The 24,924-nt window shown below is 37.9% G+C and overlaps 1 protein-coding gene across 26 annotated transcripts in view; it reads left to right on the forward strand.

Moving 5' to 3' along the window:
* DNAH14 (dynein axonemal heavy chain 14) overlaps window positions 1-24,924 on the forward strand; it is a 469,633-nt gene that overhangs the window by 359,855 nt on the left and 84,854 nt on the right. For 24 of the 26 annotated variants that reach the window (XM_011544062.3, XM_011544067.3, XM_017000296.2 and 21 more), the window contains 6 exons: window positions 377-574; window positions 11,361-11,522; window positions 13,648-13,839; window positions 15,400-15,581; window positions 17,953-18,061; window positions 18,777-18,902. In XM_011544062.3, coding sequence (XP_011542364.1) covers window positions 377-574; window positions 11,361-11,522; window positions 13,648-13,839; window positions 15,400-15,581; window positions 17,953-18,061; window positions 18,777-18,902 — 969 coding nt within the window. The remainder of the gene's footprint in view (window positions 1-376; window positions 575-11,360; window positions 11,523-13,647; window positions 13,840-15,399; window positions 15,582-17,952; window positions 18,062-18,776; window positions 18,903-24,924) is intronic. The other 2 variants (XM_011544065.3, XM_011544069.3) reach the window with 2 other exon arrangements.

Below are 24,924 nucleotides of genomic sequence, written 5' to 3' on the forward strand. Positions count from 1 at the left end.
CCTATTGCTCAAAATAAAAAGGAAAAGATCTATCTAGTTACTTATAAATGAAGAATCAAATATTGACAGTGACATGAAGATGGTTTATAAGCCTATCTGTGCTTTTTTCAAGATTATGTTCTCTTTCCAGTGAAATTTTCTCATATATTTAAAGAGGCTATGGAAAGATGAAAATATTGAAAGTGGATGAGTGCCTTATAAAAATTTTGATAAAATATTTAAATTATGTTTAATATGACTCCCAAAAGGTTATAAATAAAAATAGTCTGGGGTATTTTTACATCAAAATTTCTAGCACAAATAATAAACAGAAAACTATACGTTGAAAGATTCCCAGAAAATGTATGTCATGTGTTGTATTTCTTTTCTCCCAAAGATTGGAATAGATGGATGTGGGAAAAAAACATGTGCAACCTTGGCCTGTTATTTGACAGATAATAAACTATACCGAGTGCCTATATCTCACAAATGTGCCTACATCGAATTCAAAGAAGTCTTTAAAAAGGTGTTTATTCACGCAGGATTAAAAGGGAAACCCACTGTTCTGATGGTTCCCAATTTAAACATAGAACAAGTAAGTACTTTTTGTCTTTGCTATTTGCTGAAGTTTGATATCTATGTGGCTACCCCCTCCCCAAAAATTTAATATTTGAAAAGAAAACAAGAAAATATTTATCAATGGTTCTATTACCCTACAATATCAGTTTTCTTGCAGTATTCTCTGTTCTTATCTAGTCATAGCCCACACAGTTTATATATTTGTAATGACGCCATAGGTAGTTATGAATAAATATTTCAATAAAGGTATTTTCTATGTCATTATCTTGTTCATTTTAATTGACAGATTGGAAGTAATTTATCTGTGTAGCTGAGGTCATCTGTCTTATATCAGAACTAGCTTTATAATCTGTATTTTAAAAACCCTTTCATCTATATCCAGTATCTGTAATCTACAGTTAGATATGTAATCTACAATCTGCTCTTACAGCATCCAGGCTTCTGTTTCTCTCCATTACTCTTCTGCTCTATTTTCACTGTCAGATGCAGGACTTTCCTTACAGAATATGTTATTTTTGTCATATATATATGTGTGTGTGTGTGTGTATGTGTGTGTATAGATATATGTGTGTGTGTGTGTGTATATATATATATATATATATATATATATATATATATATATATATATTTCCTCCAAGTCTGTGGCTTGTCTATTTTCTTTTCAAATTAAATTCAATTAAATGTTTTAAATTGACATGATAATTGTACATGTGTTTATGGGGTATAGTGATGTTTCAATACATGTAAGAGCAGATTACCATAACTAGCATATTCATTATCTCAAACATTTATCATTTTTGTGTTAGGAGCATTCAATATCCTCCTTCTAGCCATTTGACACTATATAATATATTATTGTTATGTATAGTTATCCTACAATGCTATAGGTTAGTAGAACTTATTCCTCCTCTCTAGCTGTAATTTTGTATCCCTTAAAAAATCCCTCCCTATCCTTCTCTCCCTTTCCCCTACCTTTCTCAGCCTCTAGTATCTTCTGTTCCACTTTTTACTCCTGTGAGATCCACTTGTTTTTAACTTTTATATATGAGTGAGAGGATGTGGTGTTTAACTTTCTGTTCCTGGCTTACTACACTTAGCATAATCATGTTGCCACAGTGACAGGATTTCATTCTCTTTTATGGCTGAATTGTATTTTATGAAGTATATATACCATATTTTCTTTAGTCATTCATTCACTGGTGGACACTTAGGTAGATTCTGTATCTTGGCTATTGTGAAAAGAGCTGTTATAAACATGAGGGTGCAGATGTTTTCTTGATATACTGATTTCCTTTTCTTTGGATAAATGCCCAGAAGTGGGATTGCTGGATCTTATGATCATTTTATTTGCAGTTTTTGTTTTGTTTTGAGACAGAGTATTCCTCTGTCACCCAGGCTGGAGTGCAGTGGTGCAATCATGGCTCACTGAAGCCCCGACCTCCGAGGCTCAAGTGATCCTCCCACCTTAGCCTCCCAAGTAGCTGAGACTACAAGACTGCACAACCACACCCAGCTAATTTTTTTGTAGAGGCGGGGTCTCACTGTGTTGCCCAGACTCATATGTAGTTTTTTGAGGAACCTCCATACTATTTGCCATAATGGCTGTACTAGATTACATTCCCACCGACAGTGTACAAGAGTTCCCTTTCTCCACATCTTCACCATCATTTGCTATTTTTTGTCTATTTGATGATAGCCATCCTGACTGGGGAGAGGTGATAGCTTATCATGGTTTTGATTTGCATTTCCCTGTAATTAGTGATATTGAGCATTTATTCATTTTTTTGGCCATTTGTATGTCTTCTTTTGAGAAATATCTGTTCACATCATTTGCCCATTTTTTAATCAGGTTTTGTTTTGTTTTTCGTTCTTTATTTTTTGTTTTTGCTGTTAAGTTTGAGTTCCTTGTATATTCTAGATATGAATCCTCTATTGGATGAATCATTTGCAAATATTTTCTCCTATTCTGTAGTTTGTCTTTTCATTCTATTGTTTCCTTTGCTGTACAGAAGGAAATTTACCATGCTTTTTAGTTTGATATAATTCCATTTGTTTATATTTGCTTTTGTTGCCTGTGCTTTTGAGGTCTTATTTATAAATTCTTTTCCAAGACCAATGTCCTGAAGCATTTCCCTTATGTTTTCTTCCAGTAGTTTTATAGTTTCAGGTCTTACATTTAGCTCTTTAATTAATTTTGAGTTGATTCTTGGATGGGGTGAGAGGTGGGGGTCTATTTTCATTCTTCTATATATGGATATTCAACTTTCCCAGCACCATTTATTGAAGACTGACTTTTTTCCATTGTATGTTCTCAGTGCATTTGTCAAAAATGAGTTGGCCATTGATACATGGATTAATTTCTGGGTACTCTATTCTATTCCATTGGTCTATGTGTCTGTTTTTGTTCCCATACCATGCTGTTTTGGTTACTATAGCTTTGTAATGTATTTTGAAGTCTGGTAGTGTGATGCCTCCAATTTTGTTCTTTTTGCTCAGAATTGCTTTGGATTTTTGAGATATTTTGTGGTTCTATTTGAATTTTAGGAATTTTTTTCTATTTCTGTGAAGAATATCATTAGCATTTTTCAGAGATTGCAACAAATCTATAGATTGCTTTAGGTAGTATGGTCATCTTAACAATATTAGTTTTTTTGATTCATGAACATGGGATGTCTTTCCATTTGTTTGTACCCTGTTCAGTTTCTTCTATCAGCGTTTTGCAGTTTTCCTTGTAGAGTTCTTTCATCTTCTTTGTTCAAATTTATTCCCAGGTATTTTATTTTATTTATTGTAGCTATTCTAAATGGGATTGCCTTTTTAATTTTTTTCACCTAGTTTGCTGTTCATATATAGAAACATTACTGATTTTTGTATCCTGCTACTTTGCTGCATTCATTTTTCAGTTCTAAGAGATTTTCATCAACCCCATAAAAAAGTGGGCAAAAGACATGAACAGACACTTTTCAAAAGAAGACATACATGTAGCCAACAATTATATGTTAAAAAGCTCAACATCACTGATAGTTAGAGAAATGCAAATCAAAACGACAATAAGATACCATCTAACACCAGTCAGAATGGCTACTATTAAAAAGTCAAAAAATAACAAATGCTGATGAGGTCATAGAGAAAAAGGAATGCTTATACATGGTTGGTGGGTGTGTAAATTGGTTCAGCCACTGTGGAAGACATTGTGTCAGTTCCTCAGAGACCTAAAGACAGAAATACCATTCAACCCAGCAATCCCATTAGTGGGTATATACCAAGAGGAATATAAATCATCCTATTATAAAGATACATGCATGTGTATGTCACTGCAGCACTATTCACAATAGCAAAGACATGAAATCAACCTAAATGTTCATCAGTGACAGGCTGGATAAAGAATATGTAGACATATATACCATGGAATACTATGCAGCCATAAAAAAAGACCATATCCTTTGCTGTGACATGGATGGAGCTGGAGGTCATTATCCTTAGCAAACTAACACAGGAACAGAAAACCATATACTAAATGTTTTCACTTATAAGTGGGAGTTAAATGATGAGAACAGATGGACACAGAGGGGAACCATACACACTGGGGCCTTTCAGAGTGTGAAGGGTGGGAGGAGGGAGAGAATCAGGAAAAAAACTAATGAGTACTAGGCTTTATACCTGGCTGATGAAATAATCTGTACAACAAACCCCCATGACACAAGTTTACCTATGTAAAAAATTTGCACTTGTACTTCTGAACTTAAAATAAAAGTTTTTTTTTTAAAAAAAGAGTTTTTTGGTAGTCTTTATGTATTTATAAGACCATGTCATCTGGAAATGGGCAATTTGACTTCCTCCTTTTTAACTTGGAGGCCCTTAATTTCTTTCCTTTATCTAATTGCTTTGGCTAGAATTTCCAATGCTATGTTGAATAAGAGTGGTGATAGTGGGCATTATTTTCTTGTTTTAGCTCTCAGAGGAAAAGCTTTGAGCTTTTCCCTATTCAGTATGATGTTAGCTGTGGGTTTGTCACATATGGCCTTTATTGTGTTGAGGTACTTTCCTTCAATAGCTAATTTATTGAGAGTTTTTATCATGAAAGGATGTTGGATTTTATTTAATGCCTTTTCAGCATCTATTGAGATGATTGTGGTTTTTTTTCTATATTCTGTTTATGCAGTGTATCATGTTTATTGATTTGCATATCTGGAACCATCCTTGCATTCCTGACATAAATACCAGTTGATAATGGTGTATTATCTTTTTGATGTGTTGTTGGATTCAGTTTGCTAGTATTTTGTTGAGGATTTTTGTATCTAGATTCATCAGGAATATTGGCCTATAGTTTTCCTTTTTCATCACATCCTTACCTGGTTTTGGTATCAGTGTTATGCTGACCTCATAGAATGAGTAAGGAATAATTTCCTCTTTAATATTCTGGAATATCTTGAGAATAATTAATATTAATTTGTCTTTAATAGTTTGGTAGAGACCAGGAGCAGTGGCTCATGCCTGTAATCCCAGCACTTTGGGAGGCCAAGGCAGGCAGATCACCTGAGGTCAAAAGTTCAAGACCAGCCTGGCCAACATGGTGAAACCCAATATCTACTAAAAGTACAAAAAAAATTAGCCTGGTGTGGTGGCAGGTGCCTGTAATCCCAGCTACTTAGGATACTGAGGCAGGAGAATTGCTTGAACCCAGGAGACAGAGGTTGCCATGAGCCGAGATGGTACCACTGCACTCCAGCCTGGGTGACAGAGTGAGACTCCATCTTAAAAAAAAAAAAAAGTTGGTAGAATTCAGCAGTGAGGCCATCCAGTAGTGGATTTTTTGTTGTTGTTGTTGTTTGTTTGTTTGTTTTTGGGAGAGTTTTTATTACTGATCAATCTTGTTACTTATTATTAGTCTGCTCAGGTTTTCTATTTCTTCTTGGCTCAATCTTGATAGACTATATGTGAATTTAATCATTCCCTCTAGGTTTTTGAATTTATTGATGTGTTGCTGTTCATAATAGTCTCTAGTAATCCTGGGTATTTCTATGGTATCCATTGTGATGTATTCTTTTTCACTTCTGATTTTATTTATTTGGATCTTTTCCGTTTTTAGTTTGTCTAACTAATAGTTGTTCAGTTTTGTTTTTCTTTGCAAAAAAACTTTTGGTTGTGTTGATCTTTGATATTGTTTTTTATTATCAATTTCATTTATTTTGCTGTGATTTTTATTATTTATTTCCTTCTACTAATTTTGGGTTCGTTTGTTCTTGCTTTTTGTAGTTCCCTGAGATGGATTGTTGGGTTATTTATTTGAAATCTTTCTTTTTTATGTAGGCATTTATTGTTATAAACTTGCCTCTTAATACTGCTTTTCCTGCACCCCTAGGTTTTGTTATGTTGTGTTTGCATTATCATTTGTTTCAAGGAATTCTTAAATTTCATTCTTAATTTCTTCCTTCATCCATTTGTTGTTCAGGAGCATACTGTTTAATGTCCATGAATGTTACAGTTTTGAATGTTGCTCTTGTTATTGATTTCTAGTCATATTCCATTGTACTCAGATAAGATACTTGATATGATTTTGATTTTTAAAAATTTGTTATTGAGACTTGTTTGTGTTCTAACATGTAGTCAGTCATGCAGAATGTTCCGTGTGCTAATGAAAAGAATGTGTATTCTGTTGCTGTTGAGTGAAATGTTCTTTAAGTGTCTGTTAGGTCCACTTGGTCTATGGTGCAATTTAAATCTGATGTTTGCTGATTTTCTGTCTAGATGAACTATTTAATGCTGAGAATGGGGTGTTGAAATCCCCAACTATTATTGTATTGGGGTCCCTCTCTTCCTTTAGATATAATATTTGATTTATATATCTGGGTGCTCCAGTGTTGGGTACATATATATTTACAATAGTTATATTCTCTTGCAGAATTGATTCCTTTATTATTATATAATGTCCTTTGTCTCTTTTTACAGCTTGACTAGAAATCTGTTTTACCTGATATAAATATAGCTACTCCTGCTTGTGTTTGGTTTCTGTTTGCATGGAATATCTTTTTCTATCCCTTCACTGTCACTCTATGTCTGTCTTTACAAGTGTGGTGAATTTCTTATAGGCAGCTTATAGTTGGGTCTTGTTTTTCATCCATTCAGCCAGTCTTGTTTTTTATCAATTCAGCCAGTCTATATCTTTTCTTAAAAATAGAGACGAGGTCTCACTATGTTGCCCAGGCTGGTCTGGAACTCCTGGGCTCAAGAGATCCTCCTGCCTTGGCCTCCCAAAGTGCTGAGATTATCGGGGTCAAACACCGTGCCTGGCCAAATCTTTATCTTTTAAAATGGGGAATTTAATCCATTTAAATTCAAAGTTATAATAGATTGGTGAGGAACTATTTATCTCATTTTGTTGATTGTTTTCTGGTTGTTTTGTGTATCCTTCCTCTCTTATCGTTTATGTTTGTGGTGGGTGGTTTTTTTTTTTTTGCAGTGATAGGGTTTGATTCCTTTCTTTTTTCCCCTTTGTGTATTGGCTCTACCAGTGAGTGTTATAGTTTTGCATGTTTTCATAATGGTGGTTATCATCTTTTCACTTCCACTTGTAAGACTCCCTTGAGCATTTCTTGTAAGGCTACGCTAGGGGTGATGAATTCCCTCAGGTTTTGCTTGTCTTGGGAAGATTTTATTTCTCATTCATTTCTGAAGGATAGCTTTGTTGGATATAATTTTCTTGGCTGGCAGTTTCCTTCAGTTCTTTGACTATCTCATCCTATTCTCTCCTGTCCTTTAAGGTTTCTGCTGAGAAATCTGCTGTTGTTCTGCTGGGGTTTCCCATTTATATGATGACATTTTTCTCTTGCCATTTTTAGAATCTTCTCTTTGTCTTTGAATTTTGACAGTTTGACTGTAATGTTCCTCAGATAGGCTTTTTTGGGGTTGAATCTACTTGGGGACATTGGAGCTTCCTGGATCTGTATGACTAACACTCTCTGAAGACTTGGGATTGTTTTCAGTTATTATTTAATTAAATGCTTTCTACATCTTTTCCCTTCTCTTCTCCTTCTGGAATGCCTTTAAGTTCAGAAATTCTTTCTTCTGCTTGGTCTTATCTATTGTAGAAGCTCTCAATTGTATATATTTTTTCATTGAAATCTGTAGCTCTGAGATGTGTTTTTGATCCTTTTTGTGATATATATCTCCCTATTGAATTTCTCATTCAAACCATAAACTATCTTCCTGATTTTGTTGAGTTGTCTATCTTTATCTTGTATCTTACTGCATTTCTTTAAGATTATTCTTTTACATTTTTTTTCTGTCATTTTGTATATTTCTGTATGATTGCAACCTGTTACTGGTGAGCTATTGTGTTCCTTTGGAGATTTCATGTTTCCTTGCTTGTTCATGTTTGATGTGTCCCTTCATTGATTTCTATGCATCTGGAAAAGCAATCACCTTTCCAACTTTATGGAGTAGCTTTCATAAGGAGAGACTTATTCATAGGTATGGGTTTTACAGTGTCAGTCATTGGGTGCATGGCCTTGATTCTAGATGGATACAGTAGTGTAGTCTCCATGTAGTTTCTTCAGTTGTAATCCATGCTGGTGACATTTGCAAATGTCTCAGCAGCCTAGGCTGTGAGGGTTTGTGGAGGCAATGGTGCAACTTTGCTGGAGGTGGGCTCACCAGGCTGTTTCTCATGTCAAGGGCATGTGCATGCATGCAGTGAATCAGCCAATTTGGGATCTGGCTCACTTGGTTTGGGGCCATAGGGCTATTGCTCTAGCTGGGGGCATGGGCATACAGTTTCTTGGCTGGCCTGGTTGTGTGTCTGCCAGAGTTGCCCACTGGGTTGTTTCTTAGGCCCTTAGTACAAGCACAGAGTCATGAGGCAGGCCAGGGACATGTCTGCAGCACGGGGGATGTACCACAGGGCTGTTTCTTAGGTCCAAGAAGTAAGCACAATATTTCTTGGCCAGCCTGGGAGTGTGCCCACCTCCCACCACCAGGGGTGACCCATAAGGCTATTTCTCAAGCCTGAGATATGGGTTCATGGCTGCTCAGCTGACCTGAAGGGGGTGTGTCTGCCAGGGGCAACCCATGTAGCTATTTTTCAGGCCTAGGATGCAGGCAAAGGTTTGCTTGGCTAGCCTGGGGGTATGTCTTCCAGGGGTGACCTGTAAGGCTCTTTCTCAGGACCTGACTGTGGGCACAGAGCTGTTGGGCAGGCCAGGGGCATGTCCTTAGTGGAGGCACTTGTGGGGCTATTTCTCAGGTCCTGGGCATGGGCATGTAGCACTCTGCCAGCCCAAGAATGTGTCAGCTGTTCAATGGCTCTGGGACCCCTCCTGCTTCAAGAAGGGTACACAGCAGTTTGGCCAGCTCAAGGGTAGGGTCACCCTAAATGGGACTGCCAGATTATTCCCCTGACTAAAAGTGCAGGCATTGGGGATTGGTTTCCCTGCTGGCAGGACCACAATCACAGCCAATCCTGGGTCCAGGCTCTGCACAGCTGGGGTTGTGGCATATAGACACCCATGTGGACTTGGTGGAAGAATGAAGATGAAGTCCCAGTGCTGGAGAGGTGCATGGCTACTGGCCCCTAGAGCAGGGCACACTCCAGAGGTACCTCTGGTCTCAAGATGGTGCCATGCTGCTGTAGCTTGGCTCACAGCAGGAGTGAGGGTGGGTGGGAAGTACACACCTTGTTCTCCCAATCCAGAGCAATGCAGCTGCATGAATTTCCAGCAGCTCCCTAAAATGGGCCCAGGGCTAGAAAGGACTCTGGGATTGTCCTGTATAATGACTGTAGGTGTTTCAGTGGCAGCGGGGCTGGGGGATTCTTCTGCTTACCTTTTCTCCACAAGGAGAAGTCCCTCTTGACTCCCAGCTGATCTGGACAGGGGAGACAGGGCTGCAGAGGCAGGATGCCTCCACATTGCCCTCCTGGGCTTCCAGTCACCACAGGTACCTCTCCATCCTGTCACTGTACTCATGCAGTCTCCCATTGACACTCTAGTCAAATCTTAGCTGTTTGTTACATTGGTCCTTTCTTATGGGGAAGACTACTTCCAAGTACTTCTAGCCAGCCATCTGGCCAGTCGCCAGGCCCAGAATATACTATATTTACGTACAAGCAAAAATTGCTAATCACTCACTTTTTTTTGTTCTGTTATTTTTCACAAAGTATACTCTTCCATGTCCAAGACAAAATTAGGAATGCCACCTCAGATTGTATTTACTCTTTTGTGACAAAATTTCAAGGGAACATTGTTTATTGTTTATGATCCAGACATATATAGTTATTGAGTATTGTTTCAACCCCTCATCCTGTTTTTTCTCTTAATGCTGGGCCTTTCTCCATTGAGTTATTTTTTTCATGTCATATTTTTGAGAGCAAATCCAAGTGCCATATCATATCTACGAAACTCCATAATATCCAGGGTTTCTGCTATATCTATATATTCTCCCTTCACCAAACTTAAATATCCAGCTCTGTTGATCCAGTTGAGGTTTCTGCCACACACTTTCTTTCTGGATTTTAGAAGATGTAGTTTCTCCCATGCCAGGAGCCCATTGTTCTAATTTAATAAATCAGTTTCAGAAAATCATTTCAGGCCAAAGCTGAAATGGACATGGCTCCTCTGCTCTCATGTTACTCAGGACTTCGAGATCATTGGATCTGTTTCCCACACTTTCCAGGCTTCTTCTGGCCATATCATTGCTTTTCATGTGACTCAAAAAGAGTGGGTAACTATCAGTGTGTAACAAGCTTTGGCAGTTCTCCATCACATATGAGGTGAGACAGGAAATACGTTAGCCCTGTGTCACCTCTGTTGGCCTCTACTGGAGAGCTCCCCACAAGCTCTCTGCCCTTCCCCACCTGAACTGAAATACCATGAACCTATCAGTGTCTGAGTCTCCTGAAGAGAGTCACTAATGCTACCTACTTTTTTAAATGCTTTTTTTAAAAAGAAATCTTGGATTTATTCTCAAAAGCAAAATGTCCTTACATTTATAATAACTCTTCTGGAAGAGTTTGTTTCCCTACTTTTTCTCATCTGTTACCTTTTCCATTGAATTTGAGGCCCTATATAGATATGAATTCAGTTAAATTAAAATAATCCTTCAGCAATGTTATTTCTAGTTTGTCTACTACTATTCAAACGCAAATGTAAATGTATTGAGGGCTTCTGTGAACTGCCTGAGCAGTGTTCCTGCCCAATTCATTATTGTACCCACTCCTCCATACCTCTTTTCTCAGTGCCTGTCACAGCTATTTGGCATACTCTCCATACCAAGTATATGTTTCTCTAATGTTTAAATGAATGAATGGATGAATGAAGCTTATTTTGACTCAGAAAAAAATATTCTGATGGGTTTGAATGAAAACGTTAGTTTTAGGACAGCCACAGTGGCTCATGCCTGTAATCCCAGCACTTTGAGAGACCAAAGTGGGAAGATGGACCAGCCCAGACAACATAGAGAGGCCCAGTCACTACAAGAATATTTTAAAAATTAGCCAAGCATGGTGGCATGCACCTTTCATCCTAGCTATTTGGGAGGGTGAGGTGGGAGGATGGCTTAAGCCCAGTAGTTCAAGGCTGCATGCAGTGAGCCATGACTATGCCACTGTACTCCAGACTGGGCAACAGGGTGAGACTTTGTCTCAAAAAAAAAGGTGGGGGGTGGGGGAGATTAGCTTTAAAAAAAAAAATCACTTAGCCTCAGTTCTCCTTAATCACTGTTGCTTTCTTGCTTCCTCAAATTGATGTGGTTAGGGTAGAATATATGAATAATTTACTCTTCCTCATTAAATATGTGTTTTGCCTAAGGACTCATTTTTAGAAGATTTGAACTACATCATCAGTTCAGGAAGAATACCTGACCTGTTTGAAAATGTTGAGCTGGATTCTATTGCAATGAAAATCAGATATCTTACTGAACAATCTGGTCATATGGATAATAGGCAATCTTTACTTTCATTCTTTCAAAAGGTACTTTTTTGTGACTTGGCTTTATCAAATTGTCATGTTAAAAGTAGACCGTGTTTATAATTCTGTACATGATTTTCAAGTTGGATATAATTTCTTTAGATCTTTATATGAGTTTTTAAGGTAAAATAATGGGTACCCTACCTACAGACAACACCATACCCTTCGGTAGGTCAAAAACTAACATGAATCTGAGCCTGTCTGGCTATCAATGGTTTTAAAAAATAATACCAGCTGGAGGCAATAAAATGAAAAATAAAATCCCAAGATTTTATTTTTGTGTAAGTATTTGTGTAAGTATTTCTTACACAAAGATTCTTTCCTAGATAATGATGTTCTTATTTCGTCTTTTTGGTAACAAGTCTGGAAAGGCAAGAAACAAGAATCATTTCATCCTTTTGAATAGTCCTAGAATTGACCAGGAGGTGATGGATAAAAAAAGAAATTGACTGGATAGAGCGGGTGCTATTCAGAATGAACTCAGCAGCAGAGGAGCTGTGAACAAACTGGTTTGATGAGAGATATAGATTAGTCAAAATGAACTCAACTTTCTGTGTCTTTGAGACATGATGACCGACCAGTGGCTTAGCAAATATATGGACATGATTACCCAAACTAGAATATTCACTGGGGGAGGACCACAGGTGGATTTATTTCTGGTACTAGTTTTTGTCTATCATAGGGCAATTTAAAAATTGAATCTGGCCATCCACCATTTCTCAACTTAGTAACAACATTACTAAGTATCAAACAGATACTTAGTAATCTGTCACAAGGAGATGTTTTAAAAATTCCAAAAATGACTCCACAGTTGATAGAGAACAAGATAATATGAGTGGATATCCTTAGATTTAGTTATATTTTTTAATACCGTGGTAGGAAGAAGGATAGCATTTATCCTGACAATTGTGGCACTCTTGTGCCTTGTTACTATATTTGGTTTATTCATTAGATTTGAATAATAAAGAAGAAAAAAGAAATTTCAATTTGGAGTGCAGAGAATAGTACTCCAGAAAATAAATAAATAAACCAAGAATCTCAGTTAGAAGTCAATTTAATTGTATATATTATATATGTTTTATATATATAATATATATTATATATTCTGCATATATAATATATATAATGCTATGCTTCTAAAAGTAATTTGACATGTCCTACAATAATAACAAATAATAAAGGCACACTTTAAACTGCTAACATTTGATATATCTAGGTAGAAGTTTTGGGAATGCGTAAAACAAAGATAGATATTTTCATTTTTACTTTAAACATTTCCACATTGTATGAATTTTGCACTGAGCAGTTTTATTTGCCTTTATAAATTTGTTAAAGACAAAAAAAAGGAAAAAAAATCTTGCCTTTTAGTCTTCTTTCAGCTTTACTATATTTATTTGACAAAATAAGTTGCTTGATGCTTATTATCATTTTGTACAATTAGACTCTGACTTAAAGGGAACACTAAGTCACTGAGGCTGTTTTCAGTAATGCGGACTTATTGCAAAGTGATATCTGGAAATAAGGAAGAAGGAATCTGTGCCCTGTTGCCAGTCTTGCCAAGAACCCAGCAACAGCAGCAGCACAGCCAGGTCTTATGAGGAAAAGGGCTGAAGGCAAATTGCAAAGAAACTAGCACTTAGCCTAGGGCCTGTAAAATTGTGTAGGTCTCATGTTGCTTAGCTGTAATCCCTTAGCTGTAGGAGTTTTATTACTACCTCTGGTGCTCTACTCTTATTGTCAGTCTGTTTCTTTCAGCTCTAATTCATCTGACCATCTTCTCACTTTGAGTTTCTGTGGGTCTTAAATCCACACCACCCCAGAGGAAAGAGTTAAACAGTCAGACCCAGCACCATCTGACATAAAGTCCCCTACTGAACAGAACTCTAGCACCAGCCCCCATCATAAGAGTTGGTTTACGCAAGGGGTGTTCTGGGTCCAGTGCCTCCCCTACTGTTAGTTTCCCTTGGAAGGGCTCTGTTTATGGCAGGCACTCCATGCACAAATGATCAGTCCCTGATCTACCCACTAAGGAAAGATCTGAAATATGTTTTCCATGGAATTTTTAATATAATATTTTTTCAAAACAGTGGATTACATTTTAACAATTTATATTTTCATTAATTTTCAGAGAATATATAAAAATCTTCATATTTTTGTGATCATGAGTCCTGAAGGACCTAGCTTCCGCCAAAATTGTAGAGTGTATCCTTCTATGATTAGCTCCTGCACGATCGATTGGTATGAGAGGTGGCCAGAAGAAGCTCTCCTTATTGTAGCTAACTCATTCTTAAAAGAAAAGGTCAATTTTGAGAACAGAGAGGTAAATATCTAATGCAAGTGAAGGTTTCAGTTTATTGACAGCATCTGATGGTATTATGCCTCTGAAGAGCAACAAACCCTAGATGGACAAAAATAGGCAGTTCTAAGCTAATTTACAATAAAATGGATCAAGTGTTTACAATGACTCCCTATTAATTCCCCATCTGTTGTACCCCTGAATTCACCCTATTTCAAAGATGCCCAGATTCAGATTCTGCAATGCCTGTGTCTCTTCACTATGCTGTCCACATGGTGGAACAGCAGATTTCCGTGAAGGAAAACAGTCTCCATTCTGCATACCAGATTCTATGGTAAGGATGCTGCAACCTTCTGTGTATTCCTTGTAAATTGCTCTGGCTTGGCTACAAATAGCAAGTCAGCAAAGCAGTGAGAGCACAAGCCACAACACAAAATTAACTCAGAATTTATGAGCCAACAGTAAGAAAGAACCTATTCTGGAGTGACTAAACTGAACATCCCATAGGACCTAGCTGACAGCAAAGGGGGTAAGAAGTGTTGACCAAAGGAGCTGTAAATGCATAGAGAACTGAAACTCAACGTAGGACATTTCTAGGTCCTACGGGACCAATGGGATTGCATCCTTACTTGTCTAAGTGATCAAGGAAAGCAAAGGCCAAGGAGGACAGAGACAGAGTAGAACCAGAAGAAAAAAAAATGCCGCTGAGTTAAAAGTGACCAGTGACTGGTTAGACTTGGTGGACTGGAGATGAATCATCAGGACTAGGTTATGTCTAAATCAGAATTATCTCCCAATCCAGGCAAAGAGAATATTCTTCGCAGTCTGGTTTTGCTCATCTGCACATCCTTTGGGTCCTTACATTTTTGTAGCTTTATTTTACTCAAAGAAATTTCCTTGAGTATCTTGCTATTGATGACCACTTTAAGAAAAAAATATAAAAGATAAAGAAGTCTGGGCATGGTGGCTCACACCTATAATCCCAGCAGTTTGGGAGGCAAGGCAGGAGGATTGCTTGAGGCCAGGAGTTCAAGACCAGCCTGGGCAACATAGTGAGACCCTGTCTCTACAAAAAATTTAGAAAATTAGCCAGGTGTGGTGGCACACATCTGTAGTCCCAGCTACATGGGAGGCTGAGGCAGGAGGATCTCTTGAGCCCAAGAGTTTGAGGCTACGTGAGCTACTACTGCACCACTGCACTTTGGCCTGGACAAAAGAACAAGATCCAGTCTCAAAATAAAAAATAAATAAAAAATTTAAAGATAAAGAAAACATTATAACCCTTGGCCATTGATACTGATGCCCAAATCTTTGGATGACTATAGCAAAAGTGAGAGTAACATACGGGTAAAGCCTAGAAGAATGAGTGTGGCATGCCATTCATAGTTAGCTCTGCTGTTGCCCCACCACCATCCCAACCATCAAAACTCATATTTTCTTTGTCCTGCTCATCCGGGAGCTCTCTCTACATCTCCACATCTCAGAAATAATAAGCTATTTTAATTAATTCTAAGTGTTCAACTTTCTCTTTTTATGTATATTTGGATTGCTTTCTCTTAATTCTTAAAAATTATTATTCTTCAGAACTTGAAAGAAAAACTTGCCCCAACATGTGTCCAAATCCACAAAAGCATGAAAGACTTGAACAGAAAATACTTTGAAGAAACTGGAAGATTTTATTATACCACTCCCAATAGCTACTTGCAATTTATGGAAACATTTGCACACATTTTGAGGGCACGAGAGGAAGAGATGCAAACAAAGAGGTAAGACTTTGAGAACAAATCATAAATATATTTTATATTGGTGTTTTTGTTTGCGAAAAGAGACACAAATGCAAAATGGTGAGCCAAATCTGCCTTTTTGGTGGGACAAAAAGCCAGAAGCTGCAGAAGATCTTAAAAGAGATAAGGTTGACATTCCCCCTGTGTGCCTTCAAAGGCCGCCCCTGTCAAGGCAAGGCTGACAGACTTGGCCAGTAAATAAACAATTAGTCCCTGTTGGATTCCGACAGTTTATTTCTTACATGGGCAATGAAAGCAAGAGTAACGAAGAGTGCCACTCCCCATGTCCTTTGTCTCATGGGATGACACCAAAATAAAAGGCTTCAGATGACTACAACGCAGATAGTGGAACACCTACTAAGCAGTTTTATAGCCAGCAGTGGTACCTGAGGAGGCACGGGAAGAAACATGAAGCAGAAGGCCTCACCCCTAATCAGAATACAGGAGACATTGAGAAACTATCTTATGACAATCTTCCAGGAAGATGGGGAAATGAGTGGGAAATGGCCTGGTAGCATCTACTCACAAGTGCCCCACATTTTCATGTTCTAGAAAGATCAGGGGTGTCCTGCCAACACTTAGATCAGCTGCAGCCAAGCCTTGTCTATATAACCTATATGGAGACATGAAGGGCTGCCGAGGCACCATGGTGGAACTATTCTTCTCCAAGTCCATCTCCTAAACCTGTCACGTATCCAGCTAATAATTGTTTTTTAAAAATAGCCCACTCCATCAGATACTGTAACTAATTACACTGACTGGGGCCTGGGCCAGATCCATTCCATTTGCCATAGGGAACACTGCATGAGAGTGATCATGACTATGACTCCCACTTGGAGGATAGACCACAGCCAAGCTCCGTGTCTGGAGCCAAGCCAGTTAAAAATGTTATTAATCCAAGTGCATCAAGAGGTATTGGCCATTGCACCTTCTCTGTCTCAACTGGCCAGCAGGAAGTCCAGGGCAATGTGATATTTCATCAGCACTCATGCTGGAGAGTGTGAACTAATTTGTGTGCTGCAGGCAAGTATAGGCCTGACATTTACATAAGCAGCAACCTCAATAGCAGCATTTTGCTAATGTGGGGTCAGGGTCTAATTTTATTAAGTTTTCGTTAACAAGGTCAGGTGGGGCATGATAGATCCAATAACAGTTCATTTTAGAGCAGTTGAGGTAGTCTGTGAATATAATAATGAGGCTAAAGAGAATCATATCAGTGCTCAGAAAGCTAATCTTGTTCTGTTTCAAGGAGAGGCTGTTCACTCCTGGGGTCAGCAGATCCTAGGAGGTTTCTGAGAGTCCTTAGATTGAGATTTTTGTTGGTCAGCAGTTAAATTAAGGATGATGTCAACAGTCTGAGAAAATTGGCCAGATGCCCTACAGGCAAGCGTCAAGAGAGTTTAATGAATCTTCCTCTCACTCCTAACCTCCTGGGATCTAAGGTGTCCCCTCCCCATCATCCAGGGTTGTTGCTCTCCATTCACAGCCATGTAATCAGTATGACCAGTCCCTATCACAGTCATTCACCCCTTTTCCATTCCTCCTCATGTCTTACCCACAACACAGCTCTAGATCACTCAGTAGTTTCTTCCTTACATACCTTGTACTATCCTAGAACATCTCCCACCCCCTAATGCGTGGGCCATGCCAGGACAATCTTAAGAGCTATCACCTTATATGCATAATCATTATTATCAACATCCATAACTGCTTATATCCAGCAAGCATATCTCGGTGGCAAAAGACAGGTTACAGTCCACCACTGCCCGGCTCTTCTTTGCTACTTGGAAATTTCAGTAGTCCAGTTTCCCAGGGGTAGATATGGGGGGAGAAAAAGCAAGAAGGGTTAATTATATGGTTTGGGTCTCTTACAGCCTATCTGGTTCTCTTTCCCACCCCGAAACTTATAATTAAATATTCTGTTTAAATGAGAGGTACCCTTATGGGGAATTAGTACATTTAAAGCCCAATTTGCCTGTCTTAAGTGTGCTCCAGTGGGAGCTGAACCTCAGATGCCCAGTTCTCATTATTAGTTTTTCCTTTGAGTCCATTTTATTTTAACAGCATCTGTTCTTCAAGTTGAGAAATTTCCCCTCTATTCCTAGTTATCATGAATTTTATCAAATGTTTTTTCTGCATCAATGGATACTGATGCAGCAGTGAATTTTCTTCTTTATACCTTGTTAATATAGTGGATTATATTGATTGACTTTCAAATAGTGAGCCAGTCTTGCATCTCTAGAATAAAATCCATTTGGCCATAATTTGGTGTAATTCTTTTTATATATTATCAAATTATATTTGCTAAATTGTGTTATATCTTACACCTTCTTAATACTTTTTCTTCCTTCAGGGATCGCTTCCATATGGGTCTATCCACAATCCTGGAAGCAACCACTCTAGTTACAGAAATGCAAGAAGAGCTCTTGATTCTTGGCCCTCAAGTAGAACAAAAAACAAAGGTATGTTTGCTTTGAAATCTCTTTTAAAGATTTTATAGTCTAATATAGAACAGTGTTTGAAAGCAAAGGCTCTGATACCTGACAAAGACAGGCTAGAATTCCAGCTTTGTTACCCTATAGTTGTGTACACATGAAAAAAATAGCTTGTTTTTTTAGTCTTAGTTTATCTGTAAAATGAGAAGAACAAAAAAGCAGTAACAGCAAAACAGTAACATTATTACATTTTGATAATTAAGTGTAATAGTAGGTATATAGCTAACTGTAGAAGCTTATGTAGAAAGATTCCCTAGTCAATTAGTTAAATCCATCTGAAATATGCTGTGGTAACTTGCAGTCTATCAACTATTCTAAAAACCATCATTCATCATCACTCTTTGTGTGTAACGCATGAAATATTTACTGTAGTCATCCTAGGCAATATCCCAGTGGCAGACCAATGGCAGAGAGCACCAGTGGCGGAGAGCTACCATCAAGGATAGTGGATGACAGAGCTTATAAGAGGAGGCGCAGCTGAGAGCTGGCCAAATGGTGAGAGCTCTTGCTCTCTCCATTTTATTCATCTCTTGCTGTCTCTCATTTTATGAATCTATTAAATATATTTCAGGCTGATTTTAGTAAACTTTACCATAGTGAAATGAGATATTTGAATTGCTCTTTTAGAAAAGAGATCATGTCTCTTAAAATTCATTCTAAGAACAATTATGTGCTTCATTAGGAAACAGAAACTCTAATGGAAAAACTACGGAAAGATTCACAAGTAGTTGAGAAAGTTCAGATGCTTGTTAAACAGGATGAAGAAATTGTGGCAGAAGAAGTAAGAATTGTGGAAGATTATGCTCAGGTAAAATTAAAATATTGTCAATAAAAATAATTTGGAGATTTGAAAAAGTATTCCCTAACCTTCAAATTTAAAAGTCAGACTGACTAGTCTTAAATACATAGTGCCCCAACTATGGTTACTTTTCATTGTAATTCCAACAACTATTTATTGAGTCCCTACTACACACAGGATAACATTAAATGAAAGTATGAAGTCCAAACATGCATGGTCCCTGTCCTTGAGAAACCCACAATCCTAGGAAGCTTTTCTGATTACAATGAACAGAAACTCATGCAGGCCATACCAAAAGCACGTTTGGCCTTCAAGAGTAACATCTGCAAGAAACGAGGCAGCTCAAGGGACTGTGTATTTGGTGTGTGTCACTTCTGTTGCTGACTGAATAATCCTCTTTTTAAATTGACCATTCTCCTCCATACATTCCAGTCGGGTTCTTAGCAAGAGCCAGTGTGGTTTAGCAAATCACTGCATGCTCAACTCTGGTCTGATCAGTAGCTATTCCTGCTCAGAGCAAGTCAAGAGGAGAGCTTGTCTTCCATGTACAAAGGTTTTTAATCAAGCAACTCCATCAATTAAAATACATATGTAAACCTATACTCTAGTATGTGTGTAAATTATTTATAGATAAATTATATCCGTGGGCTGCTGCCATTAGCTAATAGCCCAAAGCTCAACAAATACCTAGGACAAGGTTTATTATGAATAACAGTGAATATAAATACAGATTGCAAATAGTCCTTTCAGTTATTTCAAAATTTTCTTGTTGGCCTCTTGTCATACCTAATTAGCTCATCATTGTTTTTTACCTTATAACATGGTTGAAGAAAAATTTATATCAAGAATAAAAGAAGTGTCAGCCTGCCTTTTGCTTGTTATTCACTTGTGCTTCCATTATTAGCATTGCTTTCAATCCAGTGTTTCTTTCAGACATCTTTTTAAGCTACCTGCCCATGTTTTAGGAGCTGACATTTCAAACTAGGTAACAGAAGAGGCAAATCCCTCACTTGGATACGAGTAAGCTGCAAGGCTTCCTCGTGTCCTCAGTGTTAAGCAAATAGGGGAGGCCCCATTCCTGAGCCTTCTCAGATGGGGAGCTTCCCCTCTTCCATTAAGGTGCCACCTATCTCACTGAGTGACCCAGAACTTCTGCAATGCCAACCACCTGAAGGTGCCACTGTTGATCAATATATTAAATATGAGTAAGGGGCCGAGCGGGGTGGCTTATGCCTGTAATCCCAGCACTTTGGGAGGCCGAGGCGGGTAGATTACGAGGTGAGGAAACCATGACCATCCTGGCCAACATGGTGAAACCCCGTCTCTACTAAAAATACAAAAATTAGCTGAATGTGGTGGTGCAGGCCTGTAATCCCAGCTACTTAGGAGGCTGAGGCAGGACAATCACTTGAACCTAGGAGGCGGAGATTGCAGTGAGCCAAGATGGCGCCACTGCACTCCAGCCTGGTGAGAGAGCAAGACTCGGAGGGGGGAGGGATAGCATTAGGAGATATACCTAATGCTAAATGGCGAGTTAATGGGTGCAGCACACCAGCATGGCACATGTATACATATGTAACTAACCTGCACATTGTGCACATGTACCCTAAAACTTAAAGTATAATAATAATAAATAAATAAATAAAAATAAAAAAAGAAAAATAAATAAATAAATAAATAAGAGTACGGCTTAATTTCAGTATTTAATATTTTAAGCCAATTAAAAATTGATACAGAGAAATTCATGGCGTTTGTTTTTGCTTTTTGTTTTGCATGGTTTTGTTTTGTTTTGTTTTGTTTTTTGCCATACCACAAAGGATAATCTTTTTTTCTCCCTGGCTTCAGCACAAAGCCAGATACATTAGGGCCTGGGGCCATATTTTTAAAAAAGAATACAAAATTACAGTACACAATTAGATATGAAACTAAATATGTACTTAGAATAAGTAAAGAAATCACAACAAAATATAAAATTTTTAAAGCTGACAATTATCACAAACATCACAAAATCTAGAAAATTACCTCACACACTCCTATAATACTCTTTTTAAATATTTTTTATTTTACTTTAAGTTCTGGGATACGTGTGCAGAATGTGCAAGTTTGTTACATAGGTATATACGTGCCATGGTAGTTTGCTGCACCCATTAACCCGTCATCCACATTATGCATTTCTCCTAATGTTATCTCTCCCCTAGACCCTCACCCCCCGACAGGCCCCAGTGTGTGATGTCTCCTCCCTGTGCCCATATGTTCTCATTGTTCAACTCCCATTTATGAGTGAGAATATGCAGTGTTTGGTTTTCTGTTCTTGTGTTAGTTTGCTGAGAGTGATGGTTTCCAGGCATATCCATGTCCCTGCAAAGGACATGAGCTCATCCTTTTTTATGGCTGCATAGTATTCCATGGTGTATATGTGCCACATTTTCTTAATCCAGTCTATCACTGATGGGCATTTGGGTTGGTTCCAAGTCTTTACTATTGTGAATACTCCCACAATAAACATACGTGTGCATGTGTCTTTATAGTAGAATGATTTATAATCCTTTTGGTATATACTCAGTAATGGGATTGCTGGGTCAAATGGTATTTCTGGTTCTAGATCCTTAAGGAATTCCCACACTGTCTTCCACAATGGTTGAACTAATTTGCACTCCCACCAACAGGGTAAAAGCGTTCCTGTTTCTCCACATCCTCTCCAGCATCTATTATTTCCTAACTTATTAATGATCACCATTCTAACTGGCATGAGATGGTATCTCATTGTGGTTTTGATTTGTATTTCTCTAATGACCAGTAATGATAAGCTTTTTTTTCATATGTTTGTTGGCCACATAAATGTCTTCTTTTGAAAAGTGTCTGTTCATATCCTTTGCCCACTTTTTGATGAGGTCGTTTGTTTTTTTCTTGTAAATTTCTTTAAGTTCCTTCCAGATTCTGGATATTAGCTCTTTGTCAAACAGATAGATTGCAAAAATTTTCTCCCATTCTGTAGGCTGCCTGTTCACTCTGATGATAGTTTCTTTTGCTGTGCGGAAGCTCTTTAGTTTAATTAGATCCCATTTGTCAATTTTGGCTTTTGTTGCAATTGCTTTTGGTGTTTTAGTCATGAAGTCTTTGCCCATGCCTATGTCCTGAATGGTAATGCCTAGGTTTTCTTCTAGGGTTTTTATGGTTTGGGGTCTTACATTTAAATCTTTAATCCACCTTGAGTTAATTTTTGTATAAGGTGTAAGGAAGGGGTCCAGTTTCAGTTTTCTGCATATAGCTAGCCAATTTTCCCAACACTATTAAATAGGGAATCCTTTCCCCATTGCTGGTTGTGTCCAGTTTGTCAAAGATCAGATGGTTGTAGATGTGTAGGGTTATTTCTGAGGCCTCTGTTCTGTTCCATTGGTCTATATATCTGTTTTAGTACCAGTAGCATGCTGTTTTGGTTACTGTAGCCTTGTAGTATACTTTGAAGTCAGGTAGCGTGATGCCTCCAGCTTTGTTCTTTTTGCTTAGGATTGTCTTGGATATACAGGCTGTTTTTTGGTTCCATATGAAATTTAGAGTAGTTTTTTCTAATTCTGTGAAAAAAAGTCAATGGTAACTTGATGGGAATAGCATTGAATCTATAAATTACTTTGAGCAGTATGGCCATTTTCCTGATATTGATTCTTCCTATCCATGAGCATGGAATGTTTTTCCGTTTGTTTGTGTCCTCTCTTATTTCCTTGAGCTGTGGTTAGTAGTCCTCCCTGAAGAGGCCCTTCATATCCCTTGTAAGTTGTATTCCTAGGTATTTTATTCTTTTTGTAGCAATGGTGAATGGGAGTTTGCTCATGATTTGGCTCTCTGTTTGTCTATTATTAGTATATATGAATGCTTGTGATTTTTGCACATCGATTTTGTATCCTGAGACTGCTGAAGTTGCTTATCAGCTTAAGGAGTTTTGGGGTTGAGACGATGGGGTATTCTAAATATACAATCATGTCATCTGCAAACAGAGACAATTTGACTCCCTCTCTTCCTATTTGAATACAATTTATTTCTTTCTCTCGCCTGATTGTCCTGGGCAGATCTTCCAATATTATATTGAATAGGAGTGGTGAGAGAAGGCATCCTTGTCTTGTGCTGGTTTTCAAAGGGAATGCTTCCAGCTTTTGCCCATTCGGTATGATATTGGCTGTAGGTTTGTCATAAATAGCTCTTATTATTTTAAGATATATTCCATCAATACCTAGTTTATTGAGTGTTTTTAACATGAAAGGGTGTTGAATTTTATCAAAGGCCTTTTCTGCATCTATTGAGATAATCATATGGTTTTTGTTATTAGTTCTGTTAATGTGATGGATTATGTTTATTGATTTGCATATGTTCAACCAACCTTGCGTCCAGGGATGAAGCCAACTTGATCGTGGTGGATAAGCTTTTTAATGTGCTGCTGGATTTGGTTTGCCAGTATTTTTTGACGATTTTCACATCAATGTTCATCAGGGATATTGGCCTGAGATTTTCTTTTTTCATGGTGTCTCTGCCAGGTTTTGGTATCAGGATGATGCTGGCCTCATAAAATGAGTTGGGGAGGAATCCCTCTTTTTCATTGTTCAAAATAGTTTCAGAAGAAATGGTACCAGCTCCTGTTTGTACCTCTGGTAGAATTCGGCTGTTAATCCATCTGGTCCTGGGCTGTTTTTTCAGTTGGTAGGCTATTAATTACTCCCTCAATTTCAGAACTTGTTATTGTTCTATTCAGGTATTTGACTTCTTCCTGGTTTAGTCTTGGGAGGGTGTATGTGTCCAGGAATGTATCCATTTCTTCTAGATTTTCTAGTTTATTTGTGTAGAGGTGTTTATAGTATTCTCTGATGGTAGTTTGTATTTCTGTGAGATCAGTGGTGAGATCCCCTTTATCATTTTTTATTGTGTCTCTTTGATTCTTCTGTCTTTTCTTCTTTATTAGTCTGGCTAGTGGTCTATTTTGTTAATCTTTTCAAAAACTCAGCTCATGGATTCATAGATGTTTTGAAGGTTTTCTTGCGTCTCTATCTCCTTCAGTTCTGCTCTGATCTTAGTTATTCCTTGTCTTCTGCTAGCTTTTGAATTTGTTTGCTCTTGCTTCTCTAGTTCTTTTAATTGTGATGTTAGGGTGTTGATTTTAGATCTTTCTCGCTTTCTCCTGTGGGCATTTAGTGCCATAACTTTCCCTCTAAACACTGCTATAGCTGTGTCCCAGAGATTCCGGTACGTTGTGTCTTTGTTCTCATTGGTTTCAAATAACTTATTTATTTCTGCCTTCATTTCATTATTTACCCAGTAGTCATTCAGGAGCAGGTTGTTCAGTTTCCATGTAGTTGTGCAGTTTTGAGTGAGTTTCTTAATCTTGAGTTCTAGTTTGATGGCACTGTGGTCTGAGAGACTGTTTGTTATGATTTCCATTCTTTTGAATTTGCTGAGTGTTTTACTTCCAATTATGTGATCGATTTTAGAATAAGTGCTATATGGTGCTGAGAAGAATGTATATTCTGTTGATTTGGGGTGGAGAGTTCTGTAGATGTCTGTTAGGTCTGCTTGGTCCTGAGCTGAGTTCAATTCCTGAATATCCTTGTTAATTTTCTGTTTCATTGATCTGTCTAATATTGACAGTGGTATGTTAAAATCTTCCACTATTATTGTGTGGGAGTCTAAGTCTCTCTGTAGGTCTCTAAGAATTTGCTTTATGAATCTGGGTGCTCCTGTATTGGGTGCATATGTATTTAGGATAGTTAGCTCTTCTTGCTGCATTGATTCCTTTACCATTATGTAATGCCCTTTTTTGTCTCTTTCGATCTTTGTTGGTTTAAAGTCTGTTTTATCAGAGACGAGGATTGCAATCGCTGCTTTTTTTGCTTTCCATTTGCTTGGTAAATCTTCCTCCAGCCCTTTATTTTGACCTATGTGTGTCTTTGCACGTGAGATGGGTCTCCTGAATACAGCACACCAGTGGGTCTTGACTTTATCCAATTTACCAGTCTGTGTCTTTTAATTGGGGCATTTAGCCCATTTA

The sequence above is a fragment of the Homo sapiens genome, chromosome 1, assembly GCF_000001405.40.
Source record: "Homo sapiens chromosome 1, GRCh38.p14 Primary Assembly".
NCBI lineage: Eukaryota > Metazoa > Chordata > Mammalia > Primates > Hominidae > Homo > Homo sapiens.